The following is a 27,675-nucleotide window of genomic DNA, read 5'->3' as shown; positions in this document are numbered from 1 at the left end:
CCTAAGTAAAATCAGAATTCATAACAATGGTAACAAATGTATTGCAAAAGAAAATGCAGTTTAGACATCTTGCCAAAAATTCAATAAAAATATTCTATTTGTGTTATTGCATTGTGGTGCATTTAGTTTTATAATATTCTAGTGCAGGGGAAAATTGGAAATACTGATATATTCTGCTCAAGCCAAAAGTACTCTTTGCTGACCTCAGATTATTTGAATTTACTAGTAAGTCAGCAGCTTGCTAAGTCTGTTGGCTTGTTGGTTATGATAATGTATCATTCCGCATCTGACTACTGAAAAGTGAGGTATGGATGAGTGGCCTGGTGCAGTCTGGAATTTGGTACCGCATAGTGAGGCTGTGTCACCTAAATTAGACCTTCTTTTGGCCATGGTCTTTGAGAAATCATCTGAGCTACGAAAGGCATTAAAAGACTGACAATTTTATGTTATGAATTGTTTAAATATAGTTATGTGTATGCCATTATTTTGCTTTTATTTTAAAGTAACTGTGTATATACACAGATTATCACTATAAATATTTAGCCACTTAGCCTGGAATTACTCAGTACAATACTAATTCATTATACATACGAATTAGAGAACCAATCATAATACTGTCTCAGTTTTTTGTTGTATCAATTTAGTGGATACATTCAATGTGTCCAGGAATCTCTCTCTCATCTTTTATACGTTTTAGGTGTAGACATAATTTTTGAATGTGAATTCCAGATAAAGCAGAAATTTGCCTTGTGAGATTAGAAACTTCCTTACAGCAGATGAAGAAAGGAAACAAGCATCATTTGATTTTATTCCAGAATCATACTGAATCATACTAGAACTGCTCTACAGGGAGGCTGAGCCAAGTTGGACATGCTGAAAAGAAAAACATCTTGTTCAGAATCCTTGGACTTGTTGTTTGGGTGAAGCCTGTTGGGAGTAGGTAGATGTGACTGAAAAAGAGAGACCGAGCTGTGCTTTTCCCCTGAGCTCTTTTGCCAGGGAGAAGGAATTAGACCAGTATCTTTGGGAATGTAGTTACCTGTTGGTCATGGGCCAACAGAAGAGTGTTGCTGTGGAGAGACCTACATTTGTTAATTATCTCCAGGAGAGCTAAAAAAAGCAGGTAGACATGAGTTCATGCTTTGGCTGTTGCTTTAACACTAACAATGCCATCTTCTCATTCTATGTGTGTATGTGTGTGTGTTTTCTGCTTGCACAGGCAACTCTTTTTCAAGTCTCTAAACATTCTGGGTTTTTTTGTTTATTGTTTTGTTTTGTTTTGTTTCATTTCTCAAGCCATCCTCATCATTCTTTTTTTTCTGAAATAAATATTATTATTTTGCCATTATTTCAATACTAGTTCTCAAGGTGTTACAATTTTGTTGTCATTAGCCAAGTTAAGATATGCTAACTAGCCATGGTTCAGGAAACTAGATGAGTCATACCAGGAGCATACCTCAACACACTAAAATAATGTGTGACACCAAGCCATCTGTCTCCAAGAGGAAAAATAAAGCAGCAGTCAAGAGAAAACATGATTGGTAACCCTGATGCTAAGCTCAGAAGTTTGGTATTTATTAAAACATAAATAACTTTTCACAACTTGCTCATTTTCAATCTAGCAACTATTAGTAATTAATATTATGTTTAATCATTTTATTTTCAATTTATAAAAGAAGTGGAATATTGAGTAGGTATTCTTTCTTTCTCCATTACCTCACGTGCCTCCAGAAGTGACTCACACAGAGTTAACAGAACTCAAATCCAGTGCATATCGTATTTCAAGGTTGCCTGTTTAAACAGAGTAATTTGGATTTTTCTTCGTAGGTGGTGAGCCACTGCCACACTTCTTTTTCAGCATATGTCTTAAAACTCAGATGGGAAGAAAGAAAAACATAAGTTGATTTATATTACTGATTCTTTACTAGCACAGGGAGTTTTCCACCCTCTCTTTCAGAATACAATATTGATATATAGAAATCAATTTCATTTTAATATCAATTAATTATTAAAAGTTAAATAACCAAAAGTATACTTAAAGTTAAATTTAACAAAAATATGCTGCATAATGATAACTACAGAACTGGCCTGTACAATGGTAACTGTAAAACATTGACAAAAGAAATAAAAAACTTAAATTAATACAGATATACCATTTTCATGGATTATTAGCATTTTTAAAATTTTTCTCAAGTTTTTCATAGATTCAGTGCAATCTTTAGAATTTTTATGAAAAGGAAAATGGTCTAGAATAACTAAAACAATACTAAAAAAAATTTTGGAGATTTTGCCTTAGTCATAGAATTGCTACAAACAAAGAGTAAATCGGATAATGAATGTATTACTGGAGTAAGATGAATATACAAATCAATGCAACAGAGTAGGATCCCAAAATACATCCATCCCTACATGGTTATTTGATTTTCAATAAAGATGCCAAAGTAATTTAATTGGGTAAGGCATCTTTATGACAAATGGTACTGGAATGTCTGGATATCCATATAAAAATTAAAGAATCTCAATACTTAGAATAAATGAAAGTTCATTCAAAAGTGATCACAGATGTAAATGTAAAAACTAATGTGAAGTTTTTAGAAGAAAAGGTAGAAGAAAATTTTTGCATCTTTAGGAAAGTAAAAATTTCTTACATAGAGCCCAGAAAAAATAATGATAAAAGAAAAAATAGGCCAGGTGCTGTGGCTCACGCCTGTAATCCCAGCACTTTGGGAGGCCGAGGTGGGTGGATCACAAGGTCAGGAGATCCAGACCATCCTGGCTAACATGGAGAAGCCCCATCTCTACTAAAAATACAGAAAACTTAGCTGGGCATGGTGGCGGGCACCTGTAGCCCCAGCTACTCAGGAGGCTGAGGCAGGAGAATGGCGTGAACCCGGGAGGTGGAGCTTGCAGTGAGCCGAGATCGTGCCACTGCACTCCAGCCTGGGCAACAGAGCAAGACTCCGTCTCAAAAAAAAAAAAAAGAAAAGAAAAGAAAAAAATCATACAATAAATTGACCTTTAGTAAAACTGAAAATTCTACTCCATAAAAGGCACTATTAAGAAGATGAAAAGGCAGAGACTGGAAGACAATGTGTACAACACATACACAACATACACACAAACATTTATATATACTTATATAAATGTATATATTTAAATGCATATTTATTTATGTATATATAAATGTATAAATATAAATGTATATAATTTTTTTGAAAAAATATACTCTATATAAATTATAACAGAAGTATGAATCAAATGTAAATTACATGGAAAAAAGTTTTTATATATAACAAAATATATGCATTAAACATACATTCATAAAATACAGTATATATTATATATTATATGTACTATATATGTATTTATATAATACATGTATTTATTATATAAAGATGTATTTATATAATACGTGTATTTTTTATATAAAGATGTATTTATATAATACGTGCATTTATTATATAAAGATGTATTTATATACGTGTATTTATTATATAAAGATGTATTTATATAATACGTGCATTTATTATATAAAGATGCATTTATATAATACGTGCATTTATTATATAAAGATGCATTTATATAATACGTGCATTTATTATATAAAGATGCATTTATATAATACGTGTATTTATTATATAAAGACGTATTTATATAATACGTGTATTTATTATATAAAGATGTATTTATATAATACGTGTATTTATTAAAGATGTATTTATATAATACATGTATTTATTAAAGATGTATTTATATAATACGTGTATTTATTATATAAAGATGCATTTATATAACACGTGTATTTATTATATAAAGATGTATTTATATAATACGTGTATTTATTATATAAAGATGTATTTATATAATACGTGTATTTATTATATAAAGATGTTTATATAATACATTAAACATGCATTTTTGTACAACAGAGTAGTTACACTAAGTGGAGGAAAAAAATATATAAGACAAAGACTTGCACAAGGTTGTCTAGCGAAGCTTTATCCATAATAGTCAAAAAACAATCCTAACAATGTCTACCAACAAATGAATGCATAAACAAATTGTGATACAGCATGCAATGAAATACTACTCAGAAATTAAAAACAAATAATGAACTGGATAGACATAACCACATGATCAATCTAAAAACCTTATAATCAATGAAAGAATCCAGACACAAATGAGCATATGCGTGTCATTCCATTAATGTGAAACACTAAAAAAGACAAATTTAATCTGCAAGGATAGACAGCAGAGCAGCAGTAGCAGGACCAGTAGCGGCTAGTGACTAACTGGGAAGAGATATTAAAGAACCTTTTGCGTGATGAAAAATGTTTTCTATCTTAAATGTAGGGGTAGTTAAATAGGCAAAATCTGTTGAACAATGTGATAAAAATTATTATACTCTGTATAAATTATAACCTAATAAAGTCAATTAAAAAATAAACTCTTTGTAGAAACTAAACAGAGGGATTTTAAAGCTAGTATGAATATAAATTTACTATAGTCAGGAAAGCAATTGTAAAGTAAAAAAAAAAATGGAGGTACAAGGCAGCTGATAGTACAAGATATAATATCTTTCTCAGTCATAGTAATTGTAAGAGTTCGGAACAATGTATGAACGGATAGAATAGAGAGACAGGCCTTTCATTAGTGCTTTTATAATTAATTAAATGCGCACATAAATCTTAAAAATAACATGGTATAGACCAGAGTTCAGAATTAGGTTTTGAGTTGCCTACGTTTGTTCAGGGTAAAGCAAATTCAGAAACGTGTCCAGTACCTCAAAAAGCTTCTGTAACGAAGGCATATATTCAGGGTACATCTGTGCTCCCTGAAAAATAAAGCCATATAAATCGGGGATTATTTGCAGAAACAATCCACGTAAGAGTCAAATAGTATTTTTTAAAATTCTATCTGTACAATGTGCTAAAACTAAGTTGATGTAATTTTCATTTTTCATCCTCTCTATTTAAACAGTTTTCTTAGTCTGAAAATAGTATAATAATAAATATTTCATGGAACAAGTAGAAGTCAGTTACCGTGTCTGGAATTGGTTCCTTCTGGTGGCTTCTTGGTCTGGCTGACTTCAAGAATGGAGCCATGAACCCTGGCGGTGAGTGTTACAGTTCTTAAAGATTGTTTCCTGAGTCTGTTCCTTCAGATGTCCAGATGTGTCTGGAGTTTCTTCCTTCCAGTGGGTTTGTGGTCTGGCGTGACTTCAGGAGTGAAGACACAAACCTTCGCAGTGGTTGCTACAGCTCTTAAAGGTGGCGCGTCCAGAGTTGTTTGTTCCTCCTGGTGGGTTCGTGGTCTTGCTGACTTCAGGAGTGAAGCCGCAGACCTTCACAGTGAGTGATATAGCTCATAAAGGTGGTGCGGACCCAAAGAGCGAGCAGCAGCAAGATTTATTGTGAAGTGCAAAAGAACAAACCTTCCACAGCATGGAATGGGACCCAAGTGGGTTGCCTCTGCTGACTTAGGTGGCCGGCTTTTATTCCCTTATTTGGCCCCTCCCACATCCTGCTGATTGGTCCATTTTACAGAGCACTGATTGGTCCATTTTTACAGAGTGCTGATTGGTCCTTTTACAAACTTTTAGGTAGACACAGAGCACTGATTGGTGCGTTTTTACAGAGTGCTGATTGGTGTGTTTACAAACCTTTAGCTAGACACAGAGCACTGATTGGTGTGTTTACAATCCTTTAGCTAGACAGAAAAGTTCTCCAAGTCCCCACCCAACCCAGAAGCCCGGCCGGCTTCACCTCTTAATAGCAAATCTTTCCTTTATGAAGGTCAGTTGCCTTTTTGGAAGCAGATGCATAACTCTTTAACACTGACAAATAGTATATAACATTTGAAGAGGTCAAAAACATTTTGAACTATGCAAACTTTAAGGAGAACTTACATCATAAAGTTGTTGGATAAGGGATGATTGGGGAGACATGGGTAACTAAAAATTACTGGGCTTCCAAGGGAAAGAAACTGAACTAAATTCCAAGTGTTAATATTTCTTCTTCAAAACCAGAATGCAGTCTTGCAGTCCTGGCCTTTGTGACTCAAGAAAGTCATGATGAAGGAAACTGCAGGTGACAGACAAAGAAAGAGATCTTTGACTCCACAGGTTCAAGCAAACCTCCGTGGTCTTCATGTTGGTATTGCCTCTGGTCTGTGGATGTACCAGGCATACCCCAGTCTTGGGATCTTTGCACTTGCTGATTCGTCTACCTGTAAAGCTCCTCTTCTAGATAGTCACACATATTGCTTTCTCACTTTCTTTATGCCTTCACTCAAATATCCACATTTCCTGGTCACCATATCAAAAACTACAACCTGCCTACCACCATTATCCTTCTTCTGCCACACACACAAAATTCTTTTTACTCATCTATGCTTTATTTTCTCGTTAGCACTTTATATGGTCTGGCATGATTTGATATATAGAATAGATAGACAGATGATAGACATATAGACAGATAAATGAATATGTGTGTATGTGTGTGTGTTACAAACACACTTATTTTAATTTAGTTTATTGTCTGTTTCCCCATCAGAATGGCCTCATAAAAGCAGAGATTTTTGCATGTTTTGTCACTACTCTGTCCCTAGCACCTATAATGATGCATGGCACATAATGGTATCTAACAGGCGTTTATTGAATGATTGACAATCAATTAAATGAATTAGTGATTGACTGAAGACTGAATACTAGGGGTGGGAATTGAGGCTGAAAATTCTTGTATGGGATGAAAATAAAATACAATTGACAATCACAAACTGCTCTACCCAGAGAAACCTCACCCAACATTTTTTAAGTGATAAATTTGGTGTTAATAAAAAGTTTATATTACACACCAGAATAAGGTCTACCTGAATGTTTTTAATAAAGTTTTAGGCAAATCAATGATGACAGTGTATAATGGGCTTTAATAGAAATTGGTATTTTTCACAAATAAAGCTAATCTCTAAATTGTCATTGTGATAGATATTCCTGCAACTCTAAAACAACATCTGATGCTGCTGATGGAAGCCGACTCGCAGGGTAAATGGAGCATGATGCCTTAGTGTGACAAATCCAATTAATCTATTTATTCTACAAAATTCATTGAATACTTCTAATAAATAGCATACCTAGTCACTGACTGATGACTTTTATGCTCTTTGCTATGAAGTTTCTGCTAGTCTGCAACTTTCCAAAACTCCACAAATACTTCTCAAAAGAAGACATTCCTATGGCCAACACTTATATAAAAAAGGTCAACATCACTATTCATCTGGGAAATGCAAATCAAAACCACTGTGAGAAATCACCTCACACTTGTTAAATTACTATTATTAAAAAGACAAAAGAAATGTGTTGGTGAAGATATGAAGAAAGGAAAATCCTTGAACACTCTTGGTGAAAATGCAATTTGGCATAGACATTATGAAACACATGATGAATGTTCCTTAAAAAATTAAAAACATGATCCAGCAATCTTACTTTTGGTTATATGGCCAAATGGAATGATATCAGTGTTTCAGTCTCAAAGAAGTATCTACATTCCACATTCATTGCAGCATTATTTACAATAGTCAAGATATGGAATCAACCAAAGCTTGACAAATGAATGGATTTACTAATGTGATACACACATACATGCAACATACAATGGAATGTTATTCATCCTACAAAGAGAAGGAAACTGTCATTTGAGACAACATGAACGAAACTGGAAGACATTATGCCATTATGCTGAGTGAAATAAGCCAGGCACAGAAACATGAATACTGCATGATCTCACTTATATATGGAATTTGAAAAAGTTGAACTTATAAAATCAGACAATAGAATGGTGGTTACCAGAGGGCTGGGAGTGGTCTGGGGAAACAGGGAGATGTTGGTCAAAAGATACAAAGTTTCAGTTATGCAAGACGAATAATTGCCGGAGACATAGTGTACAGCTTAGTGACTTATTTAACAATATTGTAGTGTAAGCTTGAAATTAGGTAAGAGAGCAGATCTTAAATGTTCTCATCACATACACACAAGAAATTATCTGAGATAATGAACATGCTAATTTGCTTGATTGTGGTAATCATTTCACAATGATTGTATACCTACACCGAAACATCACATTGTACATATTAAATATAATACTACTTTTATTTGTCAATTACGTTTCAATAAAGCTGAAAATAAAACCCAAACAAACAAAAAAACAAAGCTCAAACATAAGTTTTCAACAGTAGTGGTATAGCTTTAAATAGAATCCTATTTGTGATTTATTATTGTATAGACCTTTTCAAGTTAAAAAAAAAAAGTAAAATAAAGGGAATACAGAAAAAGGAGAAAAGAAACACAAGTAGGTCATCCCTCCTTCAATGTGTGTTGCCAAATGTCTGAAATATGCAGAAATAGCCTATGAAATGATTTTTACTTTTTAAAGCTTCAGCAACGATGGGAAACACCTGTATTTTGGCATAAGATTATACCCCATCCACACTCCCAACGATAATCAGTCCCGGAAAAAAGTCCCTAGCACAGAGTATTCAATTCATCTGTGTTTATTTTCACACATAATCTACCCCCACATTCCATCTATTTAAGTATCTCTCACACATGATGCATAAATTAGACATCATGCTAGAAACTAAGAAACTAAGATGAATGACACATAGTTTTATTCAGTCAAATTGTCTAGATTTCATATAATATAGGAAAAATGCAAGCTATCTAAGTGGACCTGTGGGAGAATTTATTTGTAAGGACATATTTCAAATACAGAACAAAAGGCATATGAAAAAAGGAACTTTTTCTCTTCCGTTACCAATATAGTCTCACGCCATGAAAGAGATACTGACTTTCATTACCTAAAACAATATGCAGTTTTTGAAAACAATTACCTCACATAGTTATATAAAAGAATATTAAAAATCTCATAGATAGTAGGTTAACAACAAAAACATTTTGACATGTCCATATTGAACCTTCTACTTAGGAAAGTAACATACTAGATTCTCTCCCTCCCTTCCTAGATAAAGAAGCTGTGTGTACCATTGGTGTGTGCCATTGTTGTTTACTACATGTGTATGTGTCCTCAACAACGTAAATATTAACTTCTTATTATACAAACTGTATGCAGTGGACATCATAATGCATAAATTCAACTTTTTCTCAATGTTATGTTTTTGTAGTTTATCTATTTTGATATGTGTAATGCTAGGTCATTTTTACATATTTCTATCAGGTATTCCATGGCAAGAATGTATCACTGTTTACTTATCCCTTCTGTTTATAGATGTTTAGGTTTCAGTTTTTCTCTATGTTTTAATAATAATTCATATGTGTTTTTCCTGGAGTCATGAAGTAGGGTTTTTCTGGAGTGTATGCTCGTAAGTGGAATTGCTTAGTCTTAGAGAGTGATATATTTTAATGCATTATAAACGTGCTGCCCTGTAAGTTGCACCAATTTATATCACAATCAATATCCTGAAAAATTTCCCATTGCTCTATGTCAGTGCTTCTCACAGATGGGGATGTGACATTCTGAGAGGCACTGGAAAATTTCTAGGGATGTTTTGGGTTGCCGTAATGATTGGAAAGCACTACAAGCACGAAGCTGGTGGATGTTAGGAATGTGAGATGACCAACAATATATGCAACAGTCCCCCCATAAGAATTGTTCTGTTCCTCAGAGGTCTTTTGAAAGTATAACTGGACACCTATCAAGATTGTTTTTTAAAAAGAGATCCTGTGAGTAATTATCAAAGCTATAATGTCAATTATCTTTCATACATATCCAAAGTAGTTTTGCTTAGTTTTAACTTATGCTGAATTTCCAATGATTGGAACCACTGTGACAGTTGTAGAAAGATACATTGTGTGTGTGTGTAGTGACAGATAAGGATCTGTACAAAAAAATTGGTCACTACTTGGAAAAAGTACATCACTAATGACAGAAATGCCCATGGCCATTAAATCCTCTACTAAAAATGTCAGGATTTGTATTCATTGCTGCCCCTTTCATGGTGATATAGAGGCAAATGCCTGACATTATGTTGTCATGCCCAAGCATTGATATATTATACTATATAATCACATTATAAATTACTTTTCTTTATTTCTCCTTGCATATTTTAATTGTGATGCTATATATTATGATACTATCATGTTATATTGTTGGATTTTTGAATGTATGTGTATAGAGAGGTAATATTACCTATGAATTTTATATTAGGCTGCCAAAGCGAACAACGTGTCCAACACATAGCATTAGCAGACATTTCACATTTTGCCAATCAGATGCAGATGAAATATTTTGTTTATATTTTCATTTCCCTGGTAACAATTAGGTTGAACATCTTTTCATACCTTTGGTTAACTGTTTTCCTTGTATGTGTTGTGTGCTCATAACCTTTAAGTTGATTGTATTTTCCTTACAGATTTGGTAAATTCTTAATATATGCCAGAGAATAATCATTTGTCATTTAGATGTATCATAATTTTTTTTGCCATTTGTTGTCCTTTAACTTTATTTTGCCTTTTGTGTAGAGAAGTTTAAATTTTATTTTGTTCTAATTCAGTGTGTTTAAATTATTTTAAAACATTTGTACAAAATGAGTCTCATCTAGCTAAATTCTCTTTTCCAGGAATTTATGTTGAAATATATATGATAAAAATATATACTATAGAATATTGTGCATATATACATTTTTACCTGTTTTTGCAATTTTGAATTAAATGTTAATTTTGAGTGGAAAGTTTTGTGTGTGTGCTTCTTATTTCTTGCTCTTTCCTTCACTTCATCCTCCTTTTCTTACCTGTCATTGATTCATGCATATCAGATTTGCCCACCCTCCTCACTGGACCTCGATCCTTATAGTTGTGGCTCAGATATCTTTCTTGTTAAACTATCAGGGATTTTGTATTTCCTTTTATCCAGCCAGCTGTGATTTGCTGAATTTTCTGTTCACATATCTTTGACCTTGTCTATGAGCTTCCCTGGATTCTTAAGTTTCGGATTTTTTTAAGCTAGTTTCAAAGTATTCTAACTACTGTCCTCTGGCTTTAAACAGGTGATTCCTTACTGAATATCATTTCTATTGTCTGTTCATAATCTTGGAGACCAGCAGGCCTGACACCATCACTGCGCTCACAGTTTTGTGCATCTGTTCTATTTCTGGTCCATGAAAGTATATAATCTGGTTTTTTGAGCCTGCATGAAGTGCTTTTGTTATTGCCATTGCCATTATTTACTCTTTTATATGTTCTTTTATCATTGCTATGTATTTGAAGCATGGGCTTTGCCTCTAGTTGCAAACTTACTACGTAATCTTTAATGGAATTTGAAAATGTATTTTGGGAAAAAAAGAGGTGGACTGTGGATTTATTAAGTGTCACATGTTGAAATATATATCTCTTCCACCTATGAAGGTGGAAACCATGATGATAAGGAAGATATATTCCAGGTTTATGAACAAGCATAACTCTACTCCTTTCCTAAGGCAAGACTGTAATTTCTTAATAACAATCCAAGGTTTCAAGTTAATGGAGCTGCCACAGAGGCAGGGAGTATAACTGAGACCCCCTAAGTGTTTATGTGTTCTTGTTTTACTTATTAATTTTCATTTGTGAGTCTAGGTTGAAAGTGATAATTGTTTAATTGTGCATATTGGCTTTTTCATTTTTTAAATTTAACATTTTGCAATGTTTTTAATCTAAAAGAATACCTCATGCTGTGATAATCAACATGATAAAATGTAAAAATAAATAAATAGCCTACATTTAAACGATTTCTCTTATCTACCAAGAAGTCCTATCTGTTGAATGTAAACTTAATTGCAATGTATTTCCTTAATGGTCTCCTTTAATTGGATACCCTGATATGGTATCTTTGAAAAGTTGAAGTTCCATAACAAAGCATTAGCAGTTAGTTCTTTCAAAGAAGCTTGTAATTAAATGAACACATAGAAATAATATTTTTTCAATATGTAGCTATTAAATGAAAATGAATATACTTTGCTTTGCTTTGAGTTGAATTTCTTTTTGCAATGTTACGAAAGTTTATGCAGAGAGAACATGGTTTGTGAAAACTAGAGCTATTTACACAAAATACCACAAGAAATAAGGAACTATACCTAAAATTTCAGCCTCCTCAAATTTTTTTTCTCCAGATGGGGCTTTGAAATTGCAAACACATTGTACATAGGAATGTATAGTTCAACCTAGTACTGTATTCACATAGGTCAATAAGCACTTTCAATAAAAATGATGAAATTAGCAAAACAATCTGTTTGGCTTCACTCTGAAGCAGAATTATATGGTGTCATTTTTTTGTTCCTTCAACTTCTTGTATTATAAAATATTCTAAAGGTAAAATAAACTAACTGACCTCTAGAAATTACTAAGCATTAACAAAATAATAATTTCTGCATATAATATCTTTTGTTGTTAAGTAACAGATATAGATGAAATTACATTTTTTCTCAACACACTCTCAATCCCTTGTCTGGAGGAGCTACCATCCAAATGTATTTATAAGCCATGAATGATGCGCTATTTGCTTTAGTCTCATTCTGTATTTAACCATCCTGCAACTTTCTTTTTTCACTCTACATTAAAAATCTTCAATATAAATCTGTATCTACACAGATAGAATGCTTTTATTCATTTGTCAACATGTGAAAATTATAAATTCTTCTCCTAATGGATACTTCCAAGTTTTTGATATTACAAAGAGATTTAATTTTGCAAAATTATGGCAACTGAAAGTACTTCACCAAGGGTGTGTGATAACTCCCAATTCTCATCTTCTCTGTAACACTTCACTCAGTCATGCTTCTAAAGGTCAATGACTAAATTTATCCCCAAATTCAAGGCTACCCCAATTAGTGATTAATAAACCCTTTTTTTAAAAAAAATATTCTTTTCATTTATTTTCTTTTTAATTCACTACATATGACTCTCTTTACTTGGTGTAAAATGCCATCTTGAATTTCATATTGATTACTTTATATATATGATTATGATATATTTTTATAATATTCATTATAAAATCTTTAAAATAACTATGCATTTAGGTTGTGTAAGTGGTACTGTTTTACTATATTTCTCATCTTAAAATATATATTCTTTATTATCAAATTTCAATTTTTCTGTATTTCTCCTAAAAAAATTTTTCTGACTTCTTTTTGTGAAACATCTCCAAATTCTAAATAAGAAATTTGTTTCTTTTTAAGTCATCCTGATGAGTGATAATGTTGCTTATCAAAATTTGGCAACATTGTTTAATGTTGGCTTCTTTTTCTTTTTCTTTTTTGTTTTTTGTGGTAGCCACCTGATGATTTGCACATGTGGTGCAAATTACACATTCCTCACTAAATTGATAAATCCAAAGTCTCTTTGAGGTCTCGAGAAAATATGCCACATTTGACAGAATCTGACATCTTTTGAGATCTTGGTAAAATATGTTAAATACACTCTGTTTTTATACACAGGTGGACATGAGATGTTAAACAATCAAGTCTCTGTATCACTTTCCTGAAACAGTTTAAACTGAAGCTCTTATCCAAATCTCTTTAAGAGGAATACAAAGATGCAAAGATTTCCCACTGCATTAAGAATAACATTTCTGAGGCTACATCGATGTCAACCTTTCCCACAGAGAAGCTCTCCTCCTCCTTTCCTAAGCCTTTAATTTCTCAAATTCTTTTCTTCCTTCTCACCATATAAAGGAGAAAAAGAAGGAAATTATCCTACAAAAATTGTGTTCTCCTAAAAAATCATTACTTATCCTCTGCTATCATTTAGTTATATCAAACCCATAGTTTTAAAACCGCAAACCCAATTAAACTGCCATAAAATTCTTTTATATTTCCAATTTTATTATTACAATTATCAGAAAATGTATACAAAGAAACAAGAGAAAATGTAGTTTCTCCTTTATGAGTGAGTTACTCTGTCCTTTGTAAGTTGCTAATGGCAGATTCATAATTTTATGACTGACAATATTAAAGGTTTACAGATATTAGAGCCATATAAATGAAAAAATAACTGCAGTGGTAGCATCACCGGCTCGTTCAGCTTCATAATAACCATTTCAGAATAAAAAAGAAAAAGAGACAATAGATATTTGATTGTAGTGAATTGTCAAACTGAATGGATTTAATCTTTTAACCAGAAATACCTCCAAACAATATTATTTCAAAACAGCTTGGCAATGAATTAAAACAACTATGGAAAAAAAAACAAGTCAAATCTTTGTGTAGACTGAGTTTACTGATGAGTTCAATCAAAATACATGTTCACTGAGGTTGGTCTAGAGCAACCAGTGTTCCAAGGTTGGAAGAAATAACCAGGCCCTAGTGAGAAACGATGATTCAGTCCCATGGATAGCAGAAAACTTGTTTCTCCAAATATTAACCCGTACTCCTCCAAATTTTAGTTGCTAGATCATTAAAAACATTCTTATCAAGCAGTCATTGTCTGAGGCTGTGATTTCTGGTCCAATAAGTTCTACTCTGACTAGCCGGATTGGTTACACTTTTTAAACTATATTTTAAAAATATATATATTATATATAAATTATGTATTATAAATATATAAATATGTTTTAAACATATTTCTCCCACCAATCTATTGTGTATGAATACTTTTACAAAAAAATAAATATATGAAAATACCATGAGCTTAAAATAGATATTACATTTATGAAAATGAAATTAAAGCAGGTATTAAAAAATACAAGCCCGAATGTGTCTTTTATTATTACATGAAAACAGACACAATGCAGTCCGACAAATTACTATAAAAGTTTTAAATGCTAACCCTCCATTGATACACTTACCCTGGGACATATGATGCCCTAAAAAATGTTCCCTAAATCCATGCAAATTCATATACTGAAACTTCATCCCCAACATGATGGTATTTGGAGGTAAGGTTTTTGGAAGGTGATTAGGATATGAATAGGCAGACCACATGAATGAGATTAGTACCTTATAAAAGAGGCGGCCCCAGAGAGTTCTCCTTCCCCTTCAACTATGTGAGGACACAACAAAATCGTGGCCATCTATGAACCAGGAAGTGACCCCTCATCAGGCACTGAATCTGACAGTACCTCAATCTTGGAATTTCTAGCCTCTGGAACAGTGATAAATAAATGTATGCTATTTATAAGCCAGTATAAAACAAAAGAAACAAACAAAGGCTTTCATGTACTCCTTCATTGTACAAATGTTTACTGAGAGCTAAATTGTGCTGCCAGTAATGAACAAGACAGGAGCTCCTGCACACAAATAGCTTTTGTTCTAAAAGCGCGACAGAGACTGTTTAGTATCACTTGGTGTGATTTAAAACTAAAAGTTTTACAAAGCCTGTCTTTTAAAGGAGAGTAATTCTTGCCTGGGTGCGGTAACTCACGCCTGTAATTCCATTCCATTGGAAGACTGAGGCGAGAGGATTCTTTGAGGCTAGTATTTGAAACCAGCTTAGTCAACATGGCAAGACGCTGTCTCTAGAAAATAAAAATAAAAAATTAGCTGAGCACTGTGGCAACCACCTGTAGTCCTAGCTACTTGAGAGGCTGAGACGGGAGGATTACTTGAGACCAGGAGCTTAAGGTTACAGTGAGCTCAGCCTGAGCGATAGAGCAAGAGAGCCTGTCTCCCAAAATAAATTTTTAAAAAGAATAGTTTTTAGATCAAAAATGATACGGCTTGACAGATTAAAACACCTCTAGACACATTGTCTTGTTATTTGCAGATTACAGTTCTGCAGCACTTTAGCCCAGTAATGACCAAAGTTCCTGAACAAGCAGCATCAGCCCTACATGGAAGCTAGTTAGAAATTCAAATTACTGAGGCACGCCCCAAACCTACAATATCAGACATTCTGATTCTGATGCCAGCTGAAGTTTGAGGAACAATTAATATGCTCCAAAGTTGTCTGCAGGGCTTACTGCATCACAGATCCCTAGACCCCATTCCCAGAGGTTTGAATTCAGTAGATCTGAAGTGGAGTCTAATAATTTGCATTTTAAAAAAGTTTCCAGCTGTTGCTCATGCTGGCGATCTGGAGACCTCACTTGAAGAACCATTGGCCTATTGCATATTCATTTTGGATAAACATTACATGAAAAGTATCTGGGAAATTCTAAAATCACGAATGTTTGGCCCCCACCTCTGGGCAACTCAAGCATTATCTGCAGGTATGGCACAGAATTTATGTTTAAAAGTGGATTCCATGTGATTCTGATGTATATCCAGAGTCAAGGTAGCATGCTAAGAGAAAATCAACTACAACAGCTCTTTGTGCTACCATATAGCACACAAGTAAAATGCTATTTTCATGAAAAAACATCAAGAATTTGAAACAAAACTCACTGTAAGTTGTTTCCATATAATGCCCCCCCCCAGAGCAATAGTAAAATAAAAAAAATCAGTGAAACATATTATCTAGCATTATCTAGGTCAAAACAATATATTAAAACCCTAGGTATTCTGCAGAATTGAACTTTATAAGCAACTCTCAACTATATTGAAACTTTGTCCAACTGGGACATTCATGTAAATACAACTCTTAACAGTTTTCATTTTGGGGGGAAGATATGAATATCAATCATAGCATACACCTTAATCACAGTCCTACATCTTGAATTATAGTGGACTGGAAATGCAAAAGTATTCACTTTATTTGTTTTGAAATAAATGATAAACCTTGCTTGGTACTGTAACTGTTACTTCCACGAGTCAAGATGAAGTCTGTAACCCATTTCTGGAGTGAAAAGCAAATGGCAATTTATCTAGAAGCACTAATTCTTGCTGTGTCTGGGAGGTTATGGGCCTCTCTTATCAGTGTTTCATTCTGCAGGGAGCCAGTGGGCTTTGGGGGTCTCTTTGTTTATGTTCTTTAGTACTTTTCCATTAGAATAAGCACCAGGTCTTTAAGTTGCTCTGTTTCCCCAGACTAGTCTCCTGTGGCTTTAAAGCTCTCCAAATGCCACAAGTTCTCAATACCCCACCTCCCAACTCCCCTGCAGAATTTGTAAGTGACAAGAAGCTGGAAAAATACAGATGGCATAATTATATATTTTGCAGTTGATTAATCACCACAAAACATTAATCACATTTTGTATAACAATACATAATCAAATTCTTTATAGTAGAAATTAAGTTTCTTTCTGATAGGGAATGGATTCCTTTAGGATATTGACAGAGTTTTTCAGCATCTGTTTGGCTCCCTTTCCACATCTGCATTTGATTTTCATCTGCTTTAGGGCTTAGTAAAATGTGGCTTAAAGGTTGTTTTATGACTATAAATGTATGTGTTAATAGAAGAATTTGTTGAGAAGAAAATATTTGCACAAGTTAGACACTATAAATATTTTTTTCCAGGCCATAACATGTTTCTTTAAAAACCATAAAATTTTGTTTTTTCTAAGAAATAAACCCACTGATATCAATGATAAATTACATATTTTAATAACTATTGAAATAAATACTTAATATTATAATTTGCTTTATATTATTATAAAAGACAACAATCTCTCTGTAACATATACATATCTATATGTAATGTTTTATAGTAGAAGTACCTAATTTATTGATTACTATAAAATAATTATATAGATTATATGTATAAATTCATATGTACATATAATTGATATTTATGATCATTTAAAAATAACTGTGTATTAAAACATATACAAATTTTCCATTGCCACAACTTTTTTATTATTGGCAGTATATAAAACAAAATTATCCTACTTCTTAGTTATGCCAGTCACTCAAAAATTTTTATATACAGCCTTTTACAGGCATAGTTTTTTTTATTTTGTTTCTGGAAGAAATTAGGGAACAAAGATACACATCTTCTGCTTCAAGTTTCTAGTAATACTCTAATAGGAAGAACATGAGTATATGAACCAAGAAATTTTCTACAGCAACATATAAATAATAATATGAAAATTTAATATATACATGCTGTGTGCCTGTGTGTGTGTGTATGTGTGTGTGTATGTGCTATATGTATTACATCATGAGTATAATTACACAGCTGGCCTGTGGAACTCAAAGAGAAATTTACATGATCACATAACTCTGGCATCAAACTGATACTCACAGACAGCATTGATACATATATGCAAATATAATTTATCTCTAAGACACTATTGAAATAAATTGTATGAAGAAAGTAAATGTAGGTTAAAATATTCAGATGAGAGAGAGGATGAATCATGCCAGTGTAATATGGTGACTGAAAAGACAAGGGAGGTGTGCTTATGATAACCTAGAAGAAAGGTCATAGGGCAGGGTAGAGCAGGGCAGAAGACGAGGTGCCTGAAGAGAAAGTGAGAAGGTAGACTCCACCTGAATGAATGGCTCATGTTGAAGAATGGCTAAAACAAAAAGTGATTGCACATTTTGCCAATAAAGAAATGGTGTTTGTATTCAGTTTTAGTTAAAATGACTGTATGCAGTGAGACTTGGATACTGAGTGTAGCCCCTAAAACTGTTCGTACTCCATGATAACTTTTAGCCTAGAGATTTGAGACTTATGGCAGTTACATATGGAAGACTCCTGGAGAATCTGGCACATCCTTTTACCTTGTGGATATATATGGTCCCTTCTGACACACAGGAGCTTACAGCCTGAAATTCCAAGAAGCTGATATAGAGACTTTCATAGGGCCTCTGCTTGTCTAATGGCATGGGCAACAGATTCTACCCTTATTTCATATTCAGCCAATATAGCTCTGGACCCAGAAAGTAAGTGGTGCAGGCTTGATAAGCTTGCCTTTTGAACAAATAACTTGTCGTCTATATTGAGAACTGAGTGTTACTAGCTTTGTGAGGCACTTTTAATGTTGTGAAAACGTGTATACAAATAAAATGATTGATGTCCTGTCAATAGAAACTTCAGGGAGAGTATCAGACAGAGCAGTTTCTTTTGAAGTAAGGATGGTGGAGGTAAAGGTGTTAGATTTTACTTTTCTATCTATCATAAACCCCCAAACATCAATCCAACAAGAATAGAACTTGGTATCTGAACAAGTCAGAGCACAATTTCTTAGCAGTAGACACATCCCAGCAAAAAACACAAAAGCTGGATTTATAAAAATGCATTCATAAGGATTTTATTATAATTTTTTTCCATCACTGGGATGATGTTGGCAGGAATGCTTATGTGTCTTCAAGTTATTTTCTTCTTGCCTTCATTTGTCGTAGGTTTTTTAACTTTCCTTTTAAATGATGAGATTAATATTTCTAAGGACATTTCGTTGTGAAAATATTAAAGTTATTAATATGCAATAAATGGTATTATTTAAAATAGATATAATTGAAAAATGTAAAAAAGTGAAAGAATATGCCACACAATCATTAAAATAGAATATAATTCAGTATGGATCATTTCAAAAGTGCAGAATTTGCAAGCCTCTCATGGAGAAGGTTATAGATGTATATTGGAAGACATTGGAAAATATTTAGGTAAATGAACTCATATGCAATGCTTACAAATAAGAGAATGCAATACTGAATAACAGTTTTCCCCAAATAAACTATAGTTTCAATATAATTCCATTAAAGATCCCAATTGCCCCTGTTTGCAGATGACATGATTGTATATTTAGAAAACCCCATCATCTCAGCCCAAAATCTCCTTAAGCTGATAAGCAACTTCAGCAAAGTCTCGGGATACAAAATCAATGTGCAAAAATCACAAGCATTCTTATACACCAACAACAGACAAACAGAGAGCCAAATCATGAGTGAACTCCCATTCACAATTGCTTCAAAGAGAAAAACATACCTAGGAATCCAACTTACAAGGGATGTGAAGGACCTCGTCAAGGAGAACTACAAACCACTACTCAACGAAATAAAAGAGGGCACAAACAAATGGAAGAACATTCCAAGCTCATGGATAGGAAGAATCAATATCATGAAAATGGCCATACTGCACAAGGTAATTTATAGATTCAATGCCACCCCCATCAAGTTACCAATGACTTTCTTCACAGAATTGGAAAAAACTACTTTAAAGTTCATATGGAACCAAAAAAGAGCCTGCATTGACAAGTCAATCCTAAGCCAAAAGAACAAAGCCGGAGGTATCACGCTACCTGACTTCAAACTATACTACAAGGCTACAGTAACCAAAACAGCATGGTACTGGTACCAAAACAGACATATAGACGAATGGAACAGAACAGAGCCCTCAGAAATAATACCACACATCTACAACCATCTGATCTTTGACAAACCTGACAGAAACAAGAAATGGGGAAAGGATCCCCTATTTAACAAATGGTGCTGGGAAAACTGGCTAGCCATATGTAGAAAGCTGAAACTGGATCCCTTCCTTACACCTTATACAAAAATTAATTCAAGATGGATTAAAGACTTAAATGTTAGACCTAAAACCATAAAAATCCTAGAAGAAAACGTAGGCAATACCATACAGGACATAGGCATGGGCAAGGACTTCATCACTAAAACACCAAAAGCAATGGTAACAAAAGCCAAAATTGACAAATGGGATCTAATTAAACTAAAGAGCTACTGCACAGCAACAGAAACTACCATCAGAGTGAACAGGCAACCTACAAAATGGGAGAAAATTTTTGCAATCTACTCATCTGACAAAGGGCTAATATCCAGAATCTACAAATAACTCAAACAAATTTACAAGAAAAAAACAAACAACCCCATCAAAAAGTGGGTGAAGGATATGAACAGACACTTCTCAAAAGAAGACATTTTTGCAGCCAACAGACACGTGAAAAAATGTTCATCATCACTGGCCATCAGAGAAATGCAAATCAAAACCACAATAAGATACCATCTCATACCAGTTAGAATGGCGATCTTTAAAAAGTCAGGAAACAACAGGTGCTGGAGAGGATGTGGAGAAACAGGAACACTTTTACACTGTTGGTGGGAGTGTAAACTAGTTCAACAATTGTGGAAAACAGTGTGGCGATTCCTCAGGGATCTAGAACTAGAAATACCATTTGACCCAGCCATCCCATTGCTGGGTATATACCCAAAGGATTATAAATCATGCTGCTATAAAGACACATGCACACGTATGTTCATTGCAGCACTATTCACAATAGCAAAGACTTGGAACCAACTCAAATGTCCATCAATGATAGACTGGATTAAGAAAATGTGGCATGTACACCATGGAATACTATGCAGCCGTAAAGGATGAGTTCATGTCCCTCGTAGGTACATGGATGAAGCTGGAAACCATCATTCTCAGCAAACTATCACAAGGACAAAAAAACAAACACCGCATGTTCTCACTCATAGGTGGGAATTGAACAGTGAGAACACTTGGACACAGGAAGCAGAACATCACACACCGGTGCCTGTTGTGGGTGGGGGGAGGGAGGAGGGATAGCATTAGGAGATGTACCTAATATAAATGATGAGTTAATGGGTGCAGCACACCAACATGGTACATGTATACATATGTAACAAACCTGCACGTTGTGCACATGTACCCTAGAACTTAAAGTATAATAAAAAATAATAATAATAATAAAGAAAGAAAGAAAAAAGAAAAAAAAACTGGACCAGGAAGAGTGGGGAGGGAGTGGGAAGCATGAAGGACAGAAGTAAGAAAATCCAGATGACAGGTGATGCTATGTTGGGGAGGGGGAATGAAGTGCCAACAGTGGAAATAGTGGGAAGTGAATCCATTCTAGAAATACTTTGAAGGTAGACTCAGCTGGATTCACTGGCTGATTGGCTGTGAGTTGTAAGAGAGTGGGATCAACCCTAAAGTGGAATGAAGTGCTGATACAAGCTAAAACATGCTTGAACCCCAAAACGCTTGGCTAAGTGGAAGAAATCAGGTAATCTAAGTTGTTGCCAAGAAGGACAACAACCAAGGCTATTTGGGAGGGCGGTGAGTTTCACTTTGGGCTTGTCAAGTTTGTGGTGCCTATGGGACAGTTAGAGAGCGATAGTCTGCAGTTTTGTTTTGTTTTGTTTTGTTTTGAGACAGAGTCTCACACTGTCACCCAGGCTGGATAGCCTGTCCACATATTGTATGATTCAATTCATGTGAAATGTCCAGAATAGGTAAATCCATGTAGATGGAAGGCAGACTGGCGATTGCCAGGGGGTAGTGGGAGACGGGAGGGGTGTAACTGCTTAATGAATATGGGGTTTTCTTATAGGGTGATACAAATGTTTTGGAATTGGAGGTGATGGTTGCATAACATTTGAGTGCACTCAGTGGTACTGGATTGCTCACTTCAAAATGGTTAATTTTATTGCTTGAGGCCAGGAGCTCAAGACCAGCCTGGACAACATAGTGAGACCCACCCCCCCGCCCAACCCAGCCCATCTCTACAAAAATAAAAAATTAGCCCAGCTTGATTGCATGCACTCGTAGTCCCAGCTACTTGGGAGGCTGAAGTGGGAGGATCACTTGAGCCCGGGAATTGGGGGCTGCAGTGAGCTGTGATCGTACCACTGCACTCCAGTCTGGATGACAGAGTGAGAACTCACCTCTAAAAAAATAAAAAATGAAATAAAATGGCTAATTTTATGTTCTATGAATCTCACCTTAATAAAATAAAGTGGGGGAGGGGTTGAAAAAAAGCCTCCAAAAAAAAAAAAACCCCAACAGGATTTTTAAAGCCAACAGGCTTTTAAAAAATATTATTACCTGATGCTAAAATGTGTATGGAGGAGAAAAGTAGAAGAATAAACAATACACTTACAGTATTAAAAATGGTCAAACACTACCAAATATCCAGATTTATTATGTAGTTACAGTAACATATAAAGAAAAAAAATGGGAGTAAGAGAGTATAGATAAGAAACCCTTTAGAGTTGGAATCAGACCTACATCTCAAATTGCTTAGGGACCAAGTGCACTGCTAGGTAGCAAGAGAGAAAACAAAGTCATCAATAAATTTTGCCAGAAGAATCACTTATCCATAACATTTTAAAAAATGGAATTTGGATCTTTACGCCATACTCTTAACAGGAATCATTGAGGTAGTTTAAAAATGTAAATGTAAGTATCCAAATTATAAATACAAAACTACAAAAAAATCGGGGAATCTCTAAAAGACCTTGCTGCTATGGCTTGACTGTGCCCGCCAGATTTCATGTATTGGAGGTTTGATTCCAAAATTCATATGTTGATTGGAGGTGGAACCTTTGGGAGATAATTAGGGTTAGAAAAGGTCACAGGGGTGAGGAGCCTCCCTGATGAGACTCGTGGCTTCACAAGATGAGAAAAAGAGATTTACACTGACACACAGGCACATTCTCACCAGCTTACCATGCAATGCGCTCTGCCATGTCTTAATGCAGGAAGAAGTCCCTCACAAGGTGCCAGCACCATGCTTTTGGACTTCCCAGCTTTAGAACCATGAGCTAAATAAACTTTCTTTCTTTATAAATTACCCAATTAGTGGTATTCTGTTATAACAACAGTACAAAAACACTTACATAGAAAATAATCTCTTAAACAAGACTTAATAGATGTAAATCATAAAGGACAAATAAATGTGAACATATTAAAATTAACTTTTCCATTAATCCAAAAAGTTATTAAGCAAATAAAAAAATACAAACTGAAAGAAGATATTTCATACGTATATAACTAACAAAGACTACCTACAAAATATATAAAGAACTCCTAGAAAAAGATTTTTTAAACACCTGTGCACCTGCCCCCAACAAAGACACTATAAGCAATGATCTGGCATTTCACAGAATAGGAAAGAAAGATATCATGTGAATTATATGAAAAGACCCTCAATTTCTCAATAATCAACAGAGTGAAATTTAAAGTCTCTATAATAGAGTATTTCATGCACAATGCGCTGGTATAACATATAGAAGTCAGACAAGTATTGGTGCTGTCTGGAAGCAATTGATTTTTACATACTGCTGGTGGAAGTGAATATTGATCACTTTAGCAAATAATTTGGCATTTTCTATTAAAAGAAATGATTCTCACACCTTGAGATCAGTCATGCCTCTTATGTATTCTAGAGAAATTCTTACACATGTGCACTTGGAAGCATGCACAAAGATATGCATAGCAGCACTGTGGGTACTAACAGTAATCACAAAAACAAATAAACTACCACAGTTGTACTTCCATAAAAAGAATGATAAACACATTGTCCTATATGTAATGCTCTAAAACAGTGAAAATAAATGAACCAAAGCTAAGGTGCAATGTCATCTTAGAACATTTATCTCCATAACCACAACTATGAAAACTAGTATACAGATTTATGCATTTATTCATTTACCATAAATACATTTGGTGCATGTATTTCTCTTTTTGTGTAGACTACCGCATTGTATAGACATGAACTTCAAACTAAGACCCTTCCTGGTGCAAGTCTCGATGTTGCAAAATCAAAGCAGGACAATCCCTGTATCTCTTCTGCATCATCCTTGGCTCCTGGTCACCTTCATTTCAGTTTGTTCTGTGCATTTAGGACCTCACAGGATATATTTTTCCAAATGTGAACCAGTTATCTTGCTAATGAGCAGCAGCTGCATCTTTATAATTTCCATTCATCGTATCTTTAGATGTCCAATGTGACTTCAACTTCTTAGGGCTAAATCTATTTCTTTACTAAATCCTTTAAGTACGTGAGATTGGCATCTTGGCCCTCCATAATTTGGATCATCTGTGTCCTATTCTGGATGTTTTCTACTTGGCCTTCCTAAAGAGAATGTCCAGATTAAAGTTCTAAAATTTCAGAAGACAGAAGAACACCTCAAAAAACAATGGGAGCATTTGGTAGGGCCTTTCATCTGAGGCTTTAGGTTATTCTCTCCGATCAGGCATTATACATTCATCTATTCATTTGTCTAGTGATGAGAGCTAGAGAATCAAAATCCAAACTCAGCCCATGTTAACAAGAACTCACAACATGGGAATGAAGGATATTTTTTATTGATTTAATCCAAAATTATAATAGCATTTTTAGCAAAGGGAACATTCTCAATTCTAACTGGGGTGTCTAAATGCCATTTGCTACAGCAATCTACTGCAGATGATTTAAATGATTCTGTCTGTCACAGTTCCTCAGGAAATAGATTCTGAAGCAGAAATGTGCTTACAGAAGGTTTACTGAGTAGTATCTTTAAAAATAATATCTTTAAAGGAGTGAGGAAAGTAGAACTGGGTTGAAGAAGATACTGAACTCATGCAGTTTCAACAGAGCCCTCAGCCAACCTCATAGAGATTTATAGAGCTGAGATGGCTTTTCAGAGGTGTCCTGACTTGAGGTGCAAGACAATCCCTTGTACCCCAGCATTAAATATTCATTAGATCTGTGCTGACCCTAGAAAGGACGGCTATCCTTGGAAGATGGATTTCTTTCATCAGAAGGCAACTTCCAGAGGAAAGGATGCTCCAGATAGTTGGGAAAATTAGGGCTGTGGTCCTGAAGGAGCATGTGGGCACACAACAGTATTCATTCACAATACTGTAATAATACTGTACATTTAGAATACTTGCAAGGTCAAAATGCACTGCAAGATAACTTTCTATTAATTTATTCAAGTTATTCCACGAAATGTGTAATACATCTTATCTTTCCTTCGTAAACAAAATTTTCCTTTGTAAATAAAATTCCCCAAACTCAAATCCATCTTCCCTTTGTTTTGTATTATTTCAAAGAAAAACATTTCACTGGAATGAGTTTATGGGAGTGTCTGATGGAGGTGGGAGAGGGATTATAAGAAAGAATGGCAGTGGCATCTAATAAAGAAATAAATAACAAATAAATAAAGATGTATGTATTTATTATTTTTATAAAAAGCTTATGTGACAAGCTTTTTAATAAAAATGTATACTTACATAGATTAATAAATTTGCTGCCCATTTTGAAATAACAATTATCTCTCCAAATCCCAGAAACAGAATTACATGAGCTGAATTTCAAGAATAAGCAAATGAACACTCTAAATTCTATTCTTGACTTAGCTAACTCTTACATATCATTCAGGTCTCAGTTAAATATCAATTCTTGATTAACTGTTTCTTAACCCAATACCAGAGGGGCCTCTTCCTGTCACCTCTACATCTTCCTGCTCCTGCAGCATCACGAAGGCCCATATTCTAATAATGGAGTACAGGAAATGCTGCCCCAAAATATGACACCTTGACATATTGAGTATTTTAAACTGAAAGAAATTGAACAAACTTCAGAAGCAGGATGGTCTCCCTAACCGTCTATCATCTTAACATACCCCAGTTATACTCGTTAACCCCAAACCTGTTTTTCCCACAGCTCTTCTCTGTAACTGGCAGTTCCATCCTTCTAAGGAGTCAGGCCAAAAATCTAGGTGTCGCCCTTAACCTTCTCTTTTTTTTTCACATTATATGTCTATTTCATCAGTAAATTCTATATGTTGTAACTTGAAAATATATAAAACAGGTCTTCTGAACTTTACTACTAATATCCTGGTCAAAAGCAATGTTACTTCTCACCTAGACAATTATATACTGTGTACTATCGTCTCCTTACTTCCACAAGATCCTGCCCCCTACAATACATATTCAGTCCAAGAGCCAAAATGATGTTTCTAAAATAAGAGCCAGATCACTTCTCTTTAGACCATTTAAAATATTCCTTTTTTTAATTACAGTAAATATTCCACTTCTTTCAGTGTTCTGTTCAAATATCACATTCACCTTGAGGCCTTCTTTTATTACCATATGTAACATAAAACCTCCCTTCCAAATGGCAACCATTCTCTTGTGTGCTTTATTTTTCTCCATAGCACATATCCACTTCTCATATGCTATCTGTTACCTGTCTATTTGTTTATTATTTGTCTCCATCTCTAGACTGCAATAGTCATAAGGGCAGAGATTTTTTATTTTGTATTTTTCTATGTCCCCTATGCCTTAAAAAAAAATGCCCGGCCTATAGTAAATGCTAAGTAAATGTTTATTTGATATATGAATGAATATATAGATGAATACATACATGGACAAATTATCAAAAAATTTTGAGTGCCAATTATAGGTTAATAGCTTTGTATAAAATAGATAAAAACAGAAAAACATACTCCTAATGTAGTTTATATTCCAGCAGGAGATAACAGTTGATACATAAGCAAACAAAGAAATAAAACCAGTTTTTTATAGGTAGTAATAGCGCTGCCTTTGTTATTAAGTGAATAAGTACAGTGATATAATGGAGATTAACTAGAATGGAGATTTCGGCTGATTTAGAGAGGTCTATTCCAGGACCTCTTTAAAAAGTGGTGATGTTTAAATTAATATTGGAAGAATGCCAGAAAGAGCATTCTTCTGGCATTCAAAGAAGAACAAGAACAAGGCAAAGAGAAGTAGAAAGATGTCAAGAAAAGAGAGAGTTTGGGGAGCAAGATGTCCAACACACTTGCATGTGACAAGGACTCTTTCACTGCAGTGGTTCATAAACAATGCCAGTTCAAGCAGAAAACCCATTCTATAGCAATTTTTTTTTGTTGTCTCAATTGACCACAAGCCCATGGTAACAATGCCATTTCTCATTCTATGGAAATGTTGGGGCTTAAAATATGATACCCTAAAATATGGTGCTTTGACATGCTGGACTAAAGAAGCAGCCTCAAGACCTCTCTGACTCCTGCCCCAACCCCATCCCTTTTGTCTATTAGTCCTCTGTCTCTCCCAAAGCA

At 34.4% G+C, this 27,675-nt stretch overlaps 1 long non-coding RNA gene across 1 annotated transcript, besides 1 other annotated feature; it reads right to left on the bottom strand.

The window, feature by feature from the left end:
* Nucleotides 1-1,722: 1,722 nt before the first annotated feature.
* Nucleotides 1,723-5,076, bottom strand: LOC105372082 (uncharacterized). The gene is made up of 3 exons (XR_935408.1): nt 5,043-5,076; nt 4,784-4,834; nt 1,723-1,872 (listed from the first exon to the last, which is right to left on the bottom strand). It is a non-coding gene; the product is annotated as an uncharacterized LOC105372082 (long non-coding RNA).
* Nucleotides 4,647-5,846: an enhancer, noted in NCBI's record as "BRD4-independent group 4 enhancer chr18:37825467-37826666 (GRCh37/hg19 assembly coordinates)". NCBI's record gives its function as "activates an origin of replication core promoter dependent on BRD2, P300/CBP, MED14 and CDK7 cofactors, and independent of BRD4, by STARR-seq in HCT116 cells {active_cell/tissue: HCT116}" and the evidence as "EXISTENCE:reporter gene assay evidence [ECO:0000049][PMID:35650434]".

Source organism: Homo sapiens, chromosome 18 (assembly GCF_000001405.40).
Source record: "Homo sapiens chromosome 18, GRCh38.p14 Primary Assembly".
NCBI classification, from domain to species: domain Eukaryota; kingdom Metazoa; phylum Chordata; class Mammalia; order Primates; family Hominidae; genus Homo; species Homo sapiens.
The sequence above is the reverse complement of the archived record's forward strand: the minus strand, read 5'-3'. Positions and strand labels throughout refer to the sequence as shown.